This window comes from Homo sapiens, chromosome 2 (genome assembly GCF_000001405.40).
Source record: "Homo sapiens chromosome 2, GRCh38.p14 Primary Assembly".
Classification (NCBI taxonomy): domain Eukaryota; kingdom Metazoa; phylum Chordata; class Mammalia; order Primates; family Hominidae; genus Homo; species Homo sapiens.
The window spans coordinates 30,433,257-30,449,937 of NC_000002.12; the positions used below are offsets into that span (position 1 = coordinate 30,433,257).

The 16,681-nt window shown below is 44.1% G+C and overlaps 1 protein-coding gene across 11 annotated transcripts in view, besides 7 other annotated features; it reads left to right on the plus strand.

Moving 5' to 3' along the window:
- Positions 3,657-3,736: an enhancer, noted in NCBI's record as "active region_15544". NCBI's record gives its function as "activates an Ori minimal core promoter by ATAC-STARR-seq in GM12878 lymphoblastoid cells {active_cell/tissue: GM12878}" and the evidence as "EXISTENCE:reporter gene assay evidence [ECO:0000049][PMID:35858748]".
- Positions 10,002-10,502: an enhancer, noted in NCBI's record as "H3K4me1 hESC enhancer chr2:30666124-30666624 (GRCh37/hg19 assembly coordinates)". NCBI's record gives its function as "activates a minimal SCP1, AML or CMV promoter by ChIP-STARR-seq in naive H9 embryonic stem cells {active_cell/tissue: H9 hESC(naive)}" and the evidence as "EXISTENCE:reporter gene assay evidence [ECO:0000049][PMID:30033119]".
- Positions 13,680-14,417: an enhancer, noted in NCBI's record as "H3K27ac-H3K4me1 hESC enhancer chr2:30669802-30670539 (GRCh37/hg19 assembly coordinates)". NCBI's record gives its function as "activates a minimal SCP1, AML or CMV promoter by ChIP-STARR-seq in primed H9 embryonic stem cells {active_cell/tissue: H9 hESC(primed)}" and the evidence as "EXISTENCE:reporter gene assay evidence [ECO:0000049][PMID:30033119]".
- Positions 13,721-13,790: an enhancer, noted in NCBI's record as "active region_15545". NCBI's record gives its function as "activates an Ori minimal core promoter by ATAC-STARR-seq in GM12878 lymphoblastoid cells {active_cell/tissue: GM12878}" and the evidence as "EXISTENCE:reporter gene assay evidence [ECO:0000049][PMID:35858748]".
- Positions 13,831-13,890: an enhancer, noted in NCBI's record as "active region_15546". NCBI's record gives its function as "activates an Ori minimal core promoter by ATAC-STARR-seq in GM12878 lymphoblastoid cells {active_cell/tissue: GM12878}" and the evidence as "EXISTENCE:reporter gene assay evidence [ECO:0000049][PMID:35858748]".
- Positions 13,990-16,681, plus strand: part of LCLAT1 (lysocardiolipin acyltransferase 1) — a 196,980-nt gene continuing 194,288 nt past the window's right edge. For 7 of the 11 annotated variants that reach the window (NM_001304445.2, XM_005264244.2, XM_047443868.1 and 4 more), the window contains exon 1: positions 13,990-14,127. The gene's annotated coding sequence lies outside the window, so the exon portion shown is untranslated. Of the gene's footprint in view, positions 14,268-16,681 lie in introns of all 11 variants that reach the window. The other 4 variants (NM_182551.5, XM_005264245.4, NM_001304446.2 and 1 more) reach the window with 2 other exon arrangements.
- Positions 14,101-14,220: an enhancer, noted in NCBI's record as "active region_15547". NCBI's record gives its function as "activates an Ori minimal core promoter by ATAC-STARR-seq in GM12878 lymphoblastoid cells {active_cell/tissue: GM12878}" and the evidence as "EXISTENCE:reporter gene assay evidence [ECO:0000049][PMID:35858748]".
- Positions 14,418-15,154: an enhancer, noted in NCBI's record as "H3K27ac-H3K4me1 hESC enhancer chr2:30670540-30671276 (GRCh37/hg19 assembly coordinates)". NCBI's record gives its function as "activates a minimal SCP1, AML or CMV promoter by ChIP-STARR-seq in primed H9 embryonic stem cells {active_cell/tissue: H9 hESC(primed)}" and the evidence as "EXISTENCE:reporter gene assay evidence [ECO:0000049][PMID:30033119]".

Here is a 16,681-nt window from a genome sequence, read left to right on the forward strand (position 1 = left end):
ATGATTTTTAGAAATATGAAGCTAAGCACCAGAACTGCCAAAAAAAAAAAAAAAGAAAATGTTTAGGAGTAGTCACCTTTGGTAGCCAGAACTGGGGCAAGACAGTTAGGGAGTGGGTGGGGAGCAGAGACAAGAGACTAATGTTTTTCATTATGGACCTTTTGGATGTGTTTGATTTTTAAACAATGTGCAGGTACTACTTGCTTTCCATAAATAAAAGAAAAGAACATTTTAAATAAGAAATATCTAATTAGATAGGTAATTGAAAATCACTGTGGGTGGTATTTTGGTTAATGGATAGTGAAGAAAGGCATCAAGAAACAAGGGGGCCCAGTTCAGAGAGTTCTGCAATAATTTTGGTGGGAAGTATGAACCTAGAAGGGATCTGAATGTAATCTCTCCTTGTGTGACATGTGATGCATGTGACACCCACTCACTCTCTCTCAGTCCGAATCCCAGCTCTCTCCCTGCAAGCCCCTACCTCCTCCCCTCAGCAGCCATCAAGCTTCCCATTCTGAGGCACAGCATCTGCAAGAATCTCGAGGTGGCCTGTGGTGTGGGCACGTGGGCACTTGGCCAAGGAGCATTGTAAGATTGGGGGACAAGGCCCCAGTGGAGGGCTGGGGGCTCCTGGGGTGCTGTTAGCTAGTTCCATCACTGCCAGAACACTAGCCTAGGTTTCTTCTTTACACAACCATATATTACAGGCTTACTACCTTATCTGCTTCAGGGAGGGCCAATGCCTGGACTCTCATTTCTGACCCCAGTGACAGAAGCCGGTGCCTTCTGGTCATTTTCACAGAATTGTTGCCCAGTTACCCATAGTCTGTTCATCAAATTCTTCCCTTCCTTTGAATGCCTGCATTCCTTTCTTGCCTGTTGACATTGGCTATAGCAATGGAATTTTCCAGTTTCGTAGAAACAATAGCAGTTTTAAGGATATGGCTGCTCCGTAATCTGGTTCTTTCTGTTACAGCCTGAGTCCCGGAGCTCTTGATGAAACAAATATTTTATAACATGTAGTGTTTGTCGCTGAGTAGACACCACTGGTCAAAGCACCCATTACCAGGCACCAGTTAGCTAGAAAAGCCCTGCACACCTGATTGATTTGTCCTGTTCTAATTTATGTTGCTCAGTTTGTAGTAAATAAGTGTAAGCAACTCATGGCAGTAGAAGTGGACACATGGGGCTCGAGGTAAATAATAGGGCAAGATGACTCTTCAAGGCAGTGAAACATTATTAAGTGAAAAAGCAGGTTACAAATCGCTAAGTACAGGATGACCCAATTTTTCTAAATATGTATGTATAAATGTGTGCATGTGTGGTGGATACACAAAATTAAGAACATTAAGCAGTGATTCTCTTAGATTGAGGGATTTGTGAAAGATTTGTACTTTCTTAATGTTTGCATGCCTGGTTTTTCCAAATTTTTTCAAACATGTGTTACTTTGCAATAATAAGAAAAACAAGTTATTTAAAAACATAAATGAAAACAGCAAGATCCTGGGCAAACACCATGTGTTTTGTCTGAATTCCACATACCCCTTCATGAAGAGCCAAGACTGGTCTGACTAGTGGGGGACCCAAATTGCTGGGGGCAGGAGAGTGGGAGCTTCTCACAGGTGGCAGTAGGGGACACCCAAACTGAGGAGTCAGCAGAAACCACTCCAAAGTCGTCAGATGGGTGGTCCAGAAAGTTGCCACAACAGAAAAGACAGAGGCAAGTATTAAAGCTGCACTCAGAGTTAGAAATCCAAGGACACTCATTCATGCGTCCACTGATGATCGCCTACTCTGAGCCAGCACTGTGCTGAGAAACAGGGAGATGGCAACAAGGCAGCCGGGGAGGGGCCCTAGTGGGACCTGAGGTGCAAGGTTGGTTGGCAGGGATTGGGACATTGGTCAGTCACCATGGCTTCATGATCCCTGTCTTGGTTCATCAGGGCTGCTACAATAGAATACCATAAACCAGGCCAGGTGTGGTGGCCCATGCCTGTAATCTCAGCATTTTCGGAGGCCAAGGTGGGGGCATCACTTGAGCCCAGGAGTTGGAGACCAGCCTGGGCAACATGGTGAAATCCTCATCTCTACAAAAAACATAAAAAATAGCCAGGGGTGGTGGCAGCTCCTGTGGTCCCAGCTACTTGGGAGGCTGAGGCTGGAGGACTGTTTGAGCACAGGACAGGGAGGTTGCTGTGAGGTGAGATTGTACCACTGTACTGCAGTCTGGGTAACAAAGCAAGATCCCATCTCAAAAAAAGTTTTTAAAGCCCAGGCGTGGTGACTCACACCTGTAATCCCAGCACTTTGGGAGGCCAAGGCAGGCAGATCACCTGAGGTCAGGAGTTCGAGACCAGCCTGGCCAGCATGGCAAAACCCTCTCTCTAATAAAAATACAAAAAATTAGCCAGGCGTGGTGGCGAGTGCCTGTAATCCTAAATACTCAGGAGGCTGAGGCAGGAGAATGGCTTGAACTTGGGAGGCAGACTTGCAGTGAGCCGAGATCATGCCATTGCACTCTAGCCTGGGCAACAGAGCAAGATTCCGTGTCAAAAAAAAAAAAATTAATAAAAAAGAAAGAAAAACAAAAAAGAATATCATAAACTGGGTGGCTTACAGACAGCAAAAATGTATTGCTCATAGTTCTAGTGGCTGAGAAGTCCAAGATCAAGGTGTTGGCAGATTCTGTGTCTGATGACAACCTGCTTCCTGGTTCATAGATGATGCCTTCTGCTGTGTCCTCATATGATGGAAGAGGAGAGGGAGCTCTTCTTTATAAGGGCATTAATATCCCCCAGAATCTCCACCTCCAAATACCATCACATTGGGGATTAGGCTACCACATATGAATTTGGTGGCGGGCACAAATATCCTATAGCAATCCCCAAAAACAGTAATCACACTGGGCTTGAACTAGGGGAAAACGAACCACATGGCTGCAGTGTGGAGTCTGCTTCCCACTTCAACCCTACAGTCAATTTCTGCATTAATTCACATTTCCAGGTTTTATTTAAAAAAACAGTAGGCTAGGATGGCTGTTATGATTTATTTTTAACAATTTCTCAATATAATGTACACATATGCAAAGCACTTTGACATGCACTATCTTCACATAAAGCAGATATTATTATCCCCTTTTCATAAGAGAGTAAATTGAGGCTCAGAGAAAATAATTGCTGGTACAGTATTCACACAGTGATTCGGCCAGGGATGGGAATATGGTTTTCTGGCCTTTAGACCAACACTCTTTCCACTATATTATCTCACAGTTATCTGTTCATTCATCCATTGATTCATCCAACATCAGTCCTACTTAGAGCCTGTCAGGGTTATTGCAGGTGTGTCCAGAAACTCAGAGGTGGGCCCCAATAATTACACTCCAGTATCCGACCTAAATCAATAATTCTCCATTTTGAATGCACTTACAATTGCCTGGGGATCTTTTAAAAATTACCACTGCCCAGGCCCCATCCTAAACCGAATATAATTATGATCTCTGCTGTTTTGAAAGCTCCCCGGCTGATTCTAATGCATAGCTAAAGTTTAGAAGCATGGTTCTTGAGACTAAGCACAAAGTGTGACAATTTCAGCGACTCTCTGAACCAACTTATTCTAGTGGAACTGTTCTGAATGATAGTCTTGAACTCTTGAGCTCAGAAGTTCCTCTTGTCATCAGATGCTTGCTGAGGGGTGGAGATTGAGTGTCACAGACATTGACTTTGTATTATAATAGGATGGTCCAGAATGGTGAGAGTTCTGGGCAGCAGCCAGAGGCCCCAAACTGTGCCTGGATATCATACTGGAGATAATCTGAGCTCTGTATAAGGGATTTGCTTAGCTTTCCATAGTTGTTTCTATTTTCTGAGTTTTTATATGTAAATGGGGGTATAGGAGCAGAAAAGAGAACTGAGAAGAATTAGACAGGGCTTAAAGAGGATCTCATCCAAGCTACAACTAGCTAGGAAATTGAATCTCAGAGAGGGGAAATAACTTGAAACAATTAGTGAACAATGCTAAACAGGACATGATTCAGTGCCAAAATGTGGCTGTAGGCCACAACTGCCTACTCGCTCAGTGCTTTTGAGGACTAATTGTTCTCCATGGGTCAAAGTGCATAAGCACTTTCTTTCTAGGTTGATTGACATTCACATTTTCATCTCCCCTGAGGCATTTAACTGGAGCAAATTCATAAGCCAAATTAGATAAAGATGGACAGAAGGAAGAAGTAAAAAGAAGGCAACTCTCATTTGCTAAGCATCTACTACATGTACTAGCACCTCATCACAGCTCCACAAGGCAGGAACTATTTATTTTTCTCATTTTGCAAATGAGAAAACTGAGGCTCAGGGAAGTCAAACTACTTTGCCTCAAATATAGAGTTGGTACGTGGCAGTGGAACTGGATTGCATCTAGCTGTCTTTGCTATGCTTAGCATTTATGAAACTGTGACTATAAATCTTAAATTCACTTCTTACTGGTAGTTTGCCTACAGGATGATGAACTGGATGGTGTTTTTAGTGCCAAACCGAGGATTGAGACATCTACTATTCTCCCACCTCTTGTTTACTTATTATTTATTTTTATTTTTTGCTTGAGTTATTTATTCCTATTTCCCTAAGTCGATTGATGTGACCAACATAAGCTGATGTGATCATGAAACATGCATGACTTTGGTGGAAGAAACGAATACAGAGGTCAAGAAACAGGAAGTAAATCCAAAGTGAACTTGAATCAGGGCCTAGGGCAGCCCCATCCAAGATAGGGAAGAAATGGTATATAGTAACCTGTGAAGAATTCCAGAGGAAACTGGAAATGAGGACTCTTTTTTCAAGCTATTTTCAATTTATCCAGGAATAGAAGATACTGTTTTCTAAACACATGAACACATTGATGACGAAGCATAAAAACACATAAATGACATTGTCTTCTTTTGAGGAAATCCTGGAAACAGACAGGTTTCTTGACCAGCCAGGAGTACTGTTCTGTTTCATTTCACCACTATGACCCAAGCATGGCATATCAGTCAAAAGAGCTTTGTGACCTTGGATACAGCAATCATTTTTCATATCATTGTTTCTAACCATGGGGCAGCTTCCACATGCTTGCCTCCCCCTATTTGTTCCTGGAAACTGTCTCTCATCACGAGGCACCAAAATGAACCAGCCTAGATTTCTGAGAATAAAGCATGTATATCTGATCCTGGGTGTTGCTTTGCATTTTATAGCCTGGGACATTTATAGCTGAGAATACCTGAAGGCAAGGCCTATTTACTACTCTGTTGGCTTCATGTGGTATTTTTCTTGGATGCCTTTCTCTCTTTTATGAAGAAAGTAATAATTTTCAGTTTCTGTAAAACAGAATATGCTCCAGGATACTTAGAAACTGGCTAGTCGGTAGGCCTAAAAGGGTAAAGGGAAGGAAATGACCATATATTGGGCATCTAGTATGTACCCCCATTCCTAAGGAGCAAGTATTACCATCTCAATTATACAGAAGAGAGAATAAAGAAGTGAGGCACCATCAGAGGCATGGCCTTCGGCATGACATGGACTCATCAGAGTGTGCATTTTGGCTACACCACCATCTAGTTCTGAAGACTTAGTCAAGATTTCTGAGCCTCAGTTTTTTTGTTTGTTTTTTTTGTTTTCTCATTTAGTTTAATCTTAACAGCTTTATTAAGGTATAATTGACATGCAGCACACTGCACATATTTAAAGGTCTATGTTAGTTTGTTCTCTTGCTGCTAATAAAGACGTACCTGAGACTGGGTAATTTATTTATTTATTTATTTTTTAGACGGAGTCTCGCTCTGTTGCCCAGGCTGGAGTGCAGTGACGTGATCTTGGCTCACTGCAAGCTCCGCCTCCCAGGTTCACGCCATTCTCCTGCCTCAGCCTCCCGAGTAGCTGGGACTACAGGCGCCCACTACCACGCCTGGCTAGTTTTTTTGTATTTTTAGTAGAGACGGGGTTTCACCGTATTAGCTAGGATGGTCTCAATCTCCTGACCTCGTTATCTGCCCACCTCGGCCTCCCAAAGAGCTGGGATTACAGGCGTGAGCCACCATGCCTGGCTGAGACTGGGCATATAATTTATAAAGGAAAGAGGTTTAATTGGCTCACAGTTCTCCATGGCTGGGGAGACCTCAGGAAATTTACAATCATGGTGGAAGGGGAAGCAAACACATCCTTCTTCACACGGTGCCAGGAAGGAGAAGCATGACAGCGAAGTGGGTGGGGAGGGAAGTCCCTTATAAAACAATCAGATCTTATGAGAACTCACTCACTATCACAAGAATAGTATGAGAGTAACTGCCCCCATGATTAAATTACCTCCCAGAGGGTCCCTCCCATGACACATGGGGATAATGGGAACTATTAATACAATTCAAGATGAGATTTGGTGGGGACACAGCCAAACCATATCAAGGTACAATTTAAGTTTTGACCTATGTGTACACCCATGAAACCATCATCCAGTCAAGATAATCCTAACCTTCTCCCCAAAAGTGTTCTACTGCTCCTTTGTAGCCCCTCCGTTTTCCTCCTCCCCACCCTGTTCCCCGGCAACCGCAGGACTGCTTTTGGTCCGTATGTGGTACGCAGTAATAATGGCCCCCAAAGATGTCCCTGTCCTAATCCTCTAAATCTGTAAATATGTTACCTTACATGGCAAAAGGGACTTTGCAGGTGAGATTTTCCTCGGTTATTCTAGGCCCAACCTTATAAAGGAAAGAGAGAGGCAGGAGAGTCAGAATTAGTGCAGGCTCAGTGATGACGGAAGCAGAGTTTTCAGTGCGAGAAATGAAGATGAGACACAGCTGACTTCAAAGGTGGAGGAAGGGGCCACAAGGCAAGGAACTCAGGTAGTCTCTAGAAGCTGAGAAAGGCAAGGAAATGGAATCACCCCTAGAATCTTCAGAAGCAATGCAGCCCTGCAGACACCTTGATTTTAGCCCCGTGGATCCCAGTGCGGGAGGCTGAAGAATAGCTCTCAAAAATATCCAGATCCTAATTCCTGGAACCTATGAATGTTACCATATATGGCAAAAGGAACTGTGCAATTGTGATTAAATTAAGGATTTTGAGATGGGGAGATTATCCCGGATTATCTGGTGGACCCTAAATGTAATCACAAATGTCCTTCTAAGAGAGAGGCAGAGAGAGATTTTACTATGGAAGAGGAGAAGGTGAAGTGATGTTGGGAACACAGACTGGAGTGATGTGCTTTACAGATGGTGGAAAAGGCCACAAAACAAGTAGCACTGATACTAGAAGCTGAAAAAGGAAAGGAAATGGATTCTCCCTTTGAATCTCCAGAAGGGACGAATGCTGCCAACACCTTGACATTACTCAGTAAAACTGATTTTGGACTTTTGACCTCTAGACCTGGAAGATGATGAATTTCTGTTGTTTTGAGCCACTAAATTTATGGTAATTTGTTACAGTAGCAATAGGAAAATAATACACTGATCCTTGGTTTTACATCTGTAGAATGAGGATAATATATTATTTCTGGGGTCATAGTAAAATTAAATAACTTAGTTTATAGCATATGGAGTTATTTTCCTACAGTGTCACTTATTTCTTTCTCCTCAACCCTGAAAGAATGTGGTCTTTGGCATAACTTAAGTTATACTTCTAGAGGTGGTGAATATTAACAGGGAAAGATTTGTTTGTGCTGTAGAAGCTCTGGTTGGAAGACTGGGATATATGGGCCCACTCTGGGGAAGGATCGTATTATACAACCAATTGTAGGCTAGGACCAAGATCTCCACAGAGCTGGTCCCTGGGTAGAGATGGCAAATGGTTAGAAAACCACCAAGAAAAAGAAGGGGTTTGTTTTTCAAAAGTTTTCTTGTTATTCAGGTATGGTGTGGCCAAGAGATGGGGAGATAACTTCCATTGAAAAGATAATCTGTTACAGTCAAGAGGACAGCACATGTCACTCCACGTGGGCCCACAGCGGGGAGCACCAAGCTTGGTCAGAATGCACAAGCCGGCCAAGTGCAGTGGCTCATGCCTGTAATCCCAGTGCTTCTGGAGGCCAAGGCAAGAAGGATCACTTCGGTCCAGGAGTTCGAGACAAGGCTGGGCAACATAGCGAGGTTTTCTTTTTTTTTTTTTTTTAGATGGAGTTTTGCTCTTGTTGCCGAGGCTAGAGTGCAATGGCGCGATCTCAGCTCACCACAACCCCCGCCTCCCAGGTTCAAGCAATTCTCCTGCCTCAGCCTCCCAAGTAGCTGGGATTTCAGGCATGCGCCACCACCCCCGCTAATTTTGTATTTTTAGTAGAGATGGGATTTCTCTAAAAATAAAAATAAAAAATAAAAAATAAAAATACACAAAAAGCAGGAGGAAATCATGGGAAAGTCTTTACTATGGTTTCTATGGGAAGGAATGGGCAAGGCAGGGTATGCAGGCTTAGGATAGGCTAGTTTTGATCTCAGCAGGCTCTGAGGTAGAGGAGCTATCCCAAGTTGTCTGGTGCATGGGCAGAGGAATATTGGCCTGGAGTGTAAGAACCAGTTAGAGAAGGTGGGGGTTTGTGTGTCTGGATTAGTTGGTTTGCCTATGAAAGGCACACTCCTGGGAGAGTTATTTGCTAACCCTGGTATAGGTAGTTCTTCAAGGAGGTCTCAGATGACAAAGCATCAAGAACACAGAAAATAAAAAAATACAGCCGGGCGTAGTGGCTCACGCCTGTAATCCCAGCACTTTGGGAGGCCGAGGTGGGCGGATCACCTGAGGTTGAGAATTCAAGACCAGCCTGACCAACATGGAGAAATCCCATCTCTACTAAAAATACAAAATTAGCGGGGGTGGTGGCGCATGCCTGAAATCCCAGCTACTTGGGAGGCTGAGGCAGGAGAATTGCTTGAACCTGGGAGGCGGGGGTTGTGGTGAGCTGAGATTGCGCCATTGCACTCTAGCCTCGGCAACAAGAGCAAAACTCCATCTAAAAAAAAAAAAAAAAAAAGAAAATACAGTCAATATAGGTTGCGGGATGGCCATCTCACAGTGATTATGTGGTCATCAGAGATAATTCAGTGGCGGTCGAAAATAGATGTTGAAGAGATTGGAATTGGGCCTTAAAGGTCGTTACTATTTAGAGAAACAATAGAGAAAAGGTAACAAACATTTCTTTTTTATTTTATTTTTTTGAGAGGGTGTCTTGCTCTGTTGCCCAGGCTGCAGTGCGGTGGCACGATCTGAGATCACTGCAACCTCCACCTCCCAGATTCAAGCAAGTCTCCTGTCTCAGCCTTCTGAGTAGCTGGGATTCCGGGCATGCACCATTACAACCAGCTAAGTTTGGTATTTTTAGTAAAGACAGGGTTTCACCATGTTGGCCAGACTGGTCTCGAACTCCTGGCCTCAGGTGATATGCAGGTCTCAGCCTCCTAGAGTGTTGGGATTATAGGTGTGAGCCACTGCACCTGACCCATTGTTTCTTGCCTTTGGAGATGACTGTGATGTCTGGAGTTGTTGACAACCATCTTGCGGCCATGAGGCAATAAACATAAAAATGTAAGGCCAATATGCTAAGGAAGGCAGGGCAGAAGGAGAGAAAGAACCTGAGTTGGCTGGGTGCTGTGGTTCATGCCTGTAATCCCAAATACTCAGGAAGCGAGAGGATTGCTTGGGGCTGGGAGTTCAAGACCAGTCTGGGCAGCATAGCAATACCCTGTCTCTAAGAAATTAAAAAAGCTTAGCCAGGAGGATCCCTGGGGCCCAGGCTGCAGTGAGCTATGATGAAATCATGCCACTGTACTCTAGCCTGGTCTCAAAAACAAACAAACAACAACAACAACAACAACAAAAACAAAAAGAAAAAAAAGAAATGAAAGAACCTGAGTCCTGGATGTCATTTTTAAGTTAGAGTTAATTCTGAGATTACCTATCTCTACACTTTGAGTTAAGTAACAATAAATGTTCTTGTGGTTTAAGCCACTGTTAGTTGCACTGTTAGTTGAGTTTGTGATAACTTACAGAGGAAGGTGTTCCTTACTGATACAGAGGGTTTGTATTGAGTAGTAGCAATAGGATAAAATTGTTTTTTTCTATGTTGGATGAGTGACTCATCACCAGGGTTCTAAACATACTTTCTGGTAGTTGTATCTTTTTAGCCTAAGTGAAATTTTGGTCCATCAATATATCAGTTAGGTTTTCACAAGAAACAAGTGACACCCTTGGCACAGAGGGATGATTAAAGAGAGTTGAAGGCTGACTACAAAGGTACAATCAGCGTTAAGGGAAATTAACAGAGGGCAATGAAGTACCCTGAGGCTAGACACAATAAGTTAGGCCATCACACACCCTGTGGGCCCTGCCTAAAGGGACAAGGCGGGGAGTGGGTCCCAGAATCCAGTGAGAGCTGGGCTCTAGACAAGGAGCTGTGGCCTTACGTGAAGTGTTGAAGCCACTGCCACCCTGCAGCCCCACAGGGAGGGAGCCAGGGGAATGCAGCCTTGAGCTGTTTCTCAGCCCACCCTGCAGAGTCCAGCCAGGGCCTCCCATTGGCTAAACCCTGCCAGAGGCAAAAGACCAGGAGTCAGGAGAGGAAAGCCGGACAAGTCAGCATAAAGATGGGGGTGGGGCCGGGCGAGGTGGCTCACACCTGTAATTCCACCAGTTTGGGAAGCTGAGGGGGGTGGATCACCGGAGGTCAGGAGTTCAAGACCAGCCTGACCAACATGGAGATACCCGGTCTCTACTGAAAATACAAAATTAGCCAGGTGTGGTTGGCACATGCATGTAATCCCAGTTGCTCGGGAGGATAAGGCAGGAGAATTGCTTGAACCCGGGAGGCCGAGGTTGTGGTGAGCTAGGATGGTGCCATTGCACTCCAGCCTGGGCAACAACAGCGAAACTCTGTCTCAACAACAACAACAAAAAAGATGGGGGTGGGGAACGGGGAAGGGGAGAGATGGAGCAAAAAGAGAATAATCAGAACTATTAATAATTAGACTCCACAGCTGTTTTGTGCTAATGTAAATTTGTCACTACTTCCAAGCTGTACCTTCTAGCACCAAAACTCCTCAGCTACCAAAGACATGGCTTACTCCATGTCTCAAGAAATTAAAACATTTCATTTCAAATGCCTTTTGAATTTCAGAATCTCGTTGGATGACTGGTGATATTAGGTAATGCTAAGTCTCATTCATAGAAATTTTTGCAAAGAGGGAATTGCAAAAGAAATTTTGCAATTCTTGCTTGCAAGCAATAAACTGTAGGCTATAATAAATGGGCCACTCTGGGCCTCCAGTTAAGTATCTGTGGCCTCTGCTGGCACTGGGCTGCATGTTGCTTGTATTCATTACCTTGGGAGAGACTTGCTCCGATTTTATTGGCGGCAATGTACTTGGCTCTTTTCTGAGGTCTGTTATTGAGCACAGATTTTCCCTTATTACTCTCACATTTTGAAGAGGAGTGAGCAATTACATGGGCATAGAAAGTACCCCAATAATGACAAAAGTACAATAAGAACTAGGACTTGAGATTTCCTGTATGTCATAGTGTGTCCCTGAGCATTACAGAGAGTGCCCTATTAAATGTGACCATTAAGTCAATGGCTCATGAGGTTCAGCAATTCATCAGCTGTGATGCTCTGTTACTGGGGTCAGGAAAGATTGAGAAACTTGTCCCTTTGGGACAGTAGAGCACAGATTAACACCACTTTTTAAGTGTTATATACTACAATGTAATAATAATAGAAATAAAGTGCACAATAAATGTAATGTGGTTGAATCATCCCGAAATCACCCCCTTCACCCTTCACCCCGTTCATGGAAAAACTGTCTTCCACGAAAGCAGTCCCTGGTGCCAAAAAGGTCGGGGACTACTTCTCTGGATGTCTTGATGAAATACATACATTTCAGACGCGGATAAACCCCACAAAAATTCAGGAGCTTGCTACATTGGTGATATTTTAAAATAATTATTTAAAAAACTGGGGGGGTAGTTTTAGACTTAGGAGAGATGTAAAGAGAGTACAGGGATTTTTCCATATATTCTTTACCTAGCTTCCCCTTATGTCAACATCTTGTGTAAGCATAGAACATGTATCAAAACAAAGAATGATCCTGGTACAATAGCATTATGTAAACTATACATCATTTTGGATGCTGAAGTGGTCCAATGATCTTGGGCACGTCAAGACATTTTCCCCAGAATGAAAAACATGTTACTACACCTTGCACCTCTGCCAAAAAGAAAGAAGCATGACACTTAGCAGATCTCTGAGTTTAGAAATCAGCATATTTTGCCCTTGGGAATTCTGTTCCTATCCCTTTAGCAGTTGACGTGGAAGGTGGCTACTGATCAGTAGCTCAGATCAAGAACGGGCTCAGGGCCAGGCGCGGTGGCTCAAGCCTCTAATCCCAGCACTTTGAGAGGCCAAGGTGGGTGGATAGCTTGAGCTCAGGAGTTCGAGACCAGCCTGGCAACATGTTGAAATCCTGTCTCTACAAAAAACACAAAATTAGCTGGGCATGGTGGCAGATGCCTGTAGTTCCAGTTAGTCTGGAGGCTGAGGTGGGAGGATTGCTTGAGTCCAGGAGGCAGGGGTTGTAGTGGGCCACAATCATGCCACTGCACTCCAGCCTAGGTGACAGAGCGAGACCCTGTCTCAAAAAAAAAAAAAAAAAAAAAAAAAGCAAAGAAAAGAAAAAAGAAAGAGCCCAGCACTGTCCTCTGTGGTTAGGGCGGTAAGGGCAACCTTGCCTCTTGGGCTGTATCACCGGACACACCTCACAATGCTAGAGCTCTCTGCAATGGAGCTGCAAAGGCTATGAGGAACCTCCGGCAAGCCCCCAAAGAACCACAGTAGAGCCCTTGAAGGTTCTGGAGCATAGCCAGGCCAACTCTTAACAACAACAAAAAAGAATTGGGAGATCTTTTATTCCAGTAATCTTATTTTAAAGGTAAAAAGGAGGCCTAAAGTCATAGGCATAATTGGCAGAATTGACTTTTGTTCTGGTGTTTCTCTCTGTAGTCATTCTTCACTTTCTGATGCAATTTTAGCACATCTTAAATATTAAAATGTTTTGGAACAAACTTAGAGAAATTATGAAGCTAATTTAGGAAAAGAGCACAAGAATCTTTGATTTACAGGCAATTTGGGGATATAATTTAGCTATATTGAAGCTATGCAGCCAACATGTAGATGGTCATTATTATTACACCATAAATTTTGTGAGGTCAGGAACCTTGTAATTTTAAAAATATTCACTCTGTGCTTTGTTGAATAAACGGATAAAACGTATAGACATACATGAACTACTGATGAGTGGCTGTGTGTGATGTGTAGCTATGTTTATTATTTTTAAGATTCTTATTGTATTTGTTGAAGGCCAAGTTGAGGAGGGAATTGCTTAAGGGAAATGAAAAGGGGTTTAACCACAGTCCCCACCATTCAGGGGCATGCAATCTAGTAGGTTAGGGGACAGGACAGACACACCATGATAGGTGATCGAGACCTTTTAAGAGCAGTGTGATGAAATTGCTATGGGAACTGGGAGGAAACATTTTCTAGGACTGGGGAAACACTGAGTGTGCTAGAAAAACTTTGTGCTCCTGATCAGGGAACCTGGGTTCTATAACTGCTTCTACTACTGATTTGTCCTGTGACTTCGCGCACCAAATTTAGGCTTGTAAATTAAACTCCCAGATTTCTGTTTTCCATTTTGCAGCTCTAGGGGTTGAATGAACCATTAGGTTCCCTCGGACAAATGACCTCCGCTAATTTCCTATTTCGTTGTTTTCTCACCCCTACACCCCACCGTTCCGTGGGTCCCTCCTCTCCAGGAGGCCAGACGAGGAAATAAGCGAGGCCTCTTTAAAGGAGCTCTCAAAGAAAGGTACCCGGGGTATCCCGGGCTGTGGAGCAAGCGCGGGGCGCCGGGGACCCGGGTTTCCCACGCAGCCGGGGACGCCGTTGCGTCACGGCGCCTGCAGCCAATCAGGACGTAGCCTTCCGGGACGCATTACTAGGGCGACGGCCGGACGCCTCCGCGTTACGGGATGAATTAACGGCGGGTTCCGCACGGAGGTTGTGACCCCTACGGAGCCCCAGCTTGCCCACGCACCCCACTCGGCGTCGCGCGGCGTGCCCTGCTTGTCACAGGTGGGAGGCTGGAACTATCAGGTGGGGTTACGGCGCGAGGAAAATGGCGGCGGCCGGGGGATCTCAGAGGTGCAGGAAGGGGAGCTGCAGCCCGGGCTTTTCCTCCTGAGCCATGGACCTTCCCCGGGCCGCGACCTCGGGTAACGGCCACTGGCCTGGCATTTGGGGTCCCGGTGCAGGTGGCGGTAGCGTCGCTGGCTCAGGTGGAAGGAGGCGCGGGGAAGCGACTCCTGGAGGCTGGCTGAGGCGTCAGGTGCTGAGGGGCCGCGCGAGCGGCGAGGGCGAGGTAGCCGCGGGGCGAAGAGGGTCCCGTCGGTGTTTACGCTAGGAGCGTCAAAACCTTCCTCCTGCGACCTCAGCGGGTCTGGGAGCTGCACTGTCCCGGAACGCAACCTGAGGTCTGACCCTGTTAAATCCCATGCACTAAAACGTCTCAAGTGGTCACCACGTGCGGGGCTTCGACGAGAGCCGTGGAGAGCAGGGGCTGGGGTTGTCTTCCCTGCGAGTCCTGCAGGCGCCAAAGGCCTGCCTGTAGGTGCCAGAGTGGCAGTGCCGCGAAAAGAAAGGTAGGCCCTAGCCAGGGCGGATGCCAAACCTGATCTTTAAGGTGTATCGTAGCTTCTAATTGCCCATTTGAAGAAAAGAAGTTGAAAGATAAGGCACTTAGATGTGGTTGTGGAGATGTTTTGCTTTCTTGTACTTCCCTGGTTCAGGTGGCTTCCCTGGAAATACTGCATCTGCCTTTAAAGTTCATTAACTGTGTTTCTTGTGTACATGGCAGTAGATGAGATTAGGGATTGAAGTCACTTTAAGTCCAAGAAAAGTATTGAAGATATGTGTTGAAGGCATTACCAAGATGAAATATTTATTCATATCATTAACTTATTTGTTCAAAGAAACGTCATCTCATGAAGTATAACTACGTGGGTTAGTTTTCAAAAAACTGACTTGATGAAAGCCCTTTTTGTAAAACATATTTTTTGAGAGTAAGTAAAAATACATCATCACTTTTTCGTTTAGGTTTCTGTTGCACATTGTACTTTGATATGCTTGATATGACAGATAAGCATAATGTTAACTGACTTTTGTTTTTGGTAGTAGGCTTGATTTTATGGAGTAGTACCTTGTTCTGTAACTGAGAAAAACGTAATAGCGCTTGTGTTTCAGTCATCAATAGCTGCAATCTCTGGAGTGCCAACTATGTGTCAGTTTCTGTGAAAGCTAGGCTTCTCCTACTTTTTAATTTGAACACATGGTCGTCTGCATCTGCCCCCACCAGGTCTTTAGGCTGGCTGTTGCTGACAACCAGGAGGAAGCAATGGGGAAAACCCAAAAGATTCTTCCAAACTGGATCCATGGAGATTTGGTCAGTTTGTCCTGGGGTTGAGGTTATGGGTGGATTCTAGTCCAAACTCTGCCACTTAAAAATATCTTAGGGTAATCATACAACTTCACTATTGGTGTCTTATCTCTAAAGTGAGTATTTCTTATTCAAACAATCTCATTGCACTGTTGGGAGGAAAAAGAAAAGACAGTATGTGTGAAAGGGCTTTAAAAAGTTAAAAAAACAGTGAAAATATTTGAAATTTATTCCTCTGCATTCATGTACTCTGCCAGGCACTGAATCCGGGGACTTATATGTGCCAACTCAGTCATCTAGCATCACTGTGAGGCGGATACATTTATTATCTTTATTTTGCAGATGAGGAAACTGAAGCACATTGAAGTTTAAGTAATTTGTCCATATCACACAATTAGCATTGTGTTTCCAGCCTGTGTTCTTACTGTCTTACTACCACCATGCCTACTATCTTCCTATGACATACAGATGTGTTATGTATTAAGGGGAAACATTAATTCATGTACAAATTTTTCATTTTTAATATATATATTTTTCTTTTTCAAAGGCTCTAGCAATGTCCTAGAATGAACACATATTTCAAGCCAGTAGTTTTGTTTGTGATCTTGTGTAAATAATAATCATGGTTTATTCCATTGGCGTCCAATAGTGATTTGTGTGGTAACAATTACATTTACTTTGGTTAAGTGGTATATTCTTCTTACTTGTGTTGCCCATTAATTAAAAAGTTATTTTGAAACAGAGTTATGACTAATTTCTTTTTTTTTTTTTTTTGAGAGGGAGGTTCGCTCTTGTTGCCAGGGCTGGAGTGCAATGGCACGATCTCGGCTCACCACAGCCTCTGCCTCCCGGGTTCAAGCGATTCTCCTGCCTCAGCCTCCTGAGTAGCTGGGATTACAGACATGTGCCACTACGCCTGGCTAATTTTGTATTGTTAGTAGAGACGGGGTTTCTCTGTGTTGGTCAGGCTAGTCTTGAGCTCCCGACCTCAGGTGATCCGCCTGCCTCAGCCTCCCAAAGTGTTGGGATTACAGGTGTGAGCCACTGTGCCTGGCTAGTTATGACTAATTTCTATCAGGAAGCACAAATCAATAATTGGGATTTTTGTTTTTATTACATTTTTTAAAAGAATAATTTGCTGGGGGACTTTTAAAAGAAAACTGATTTTAGTTAAGCTTGTTGTTTTGATATACT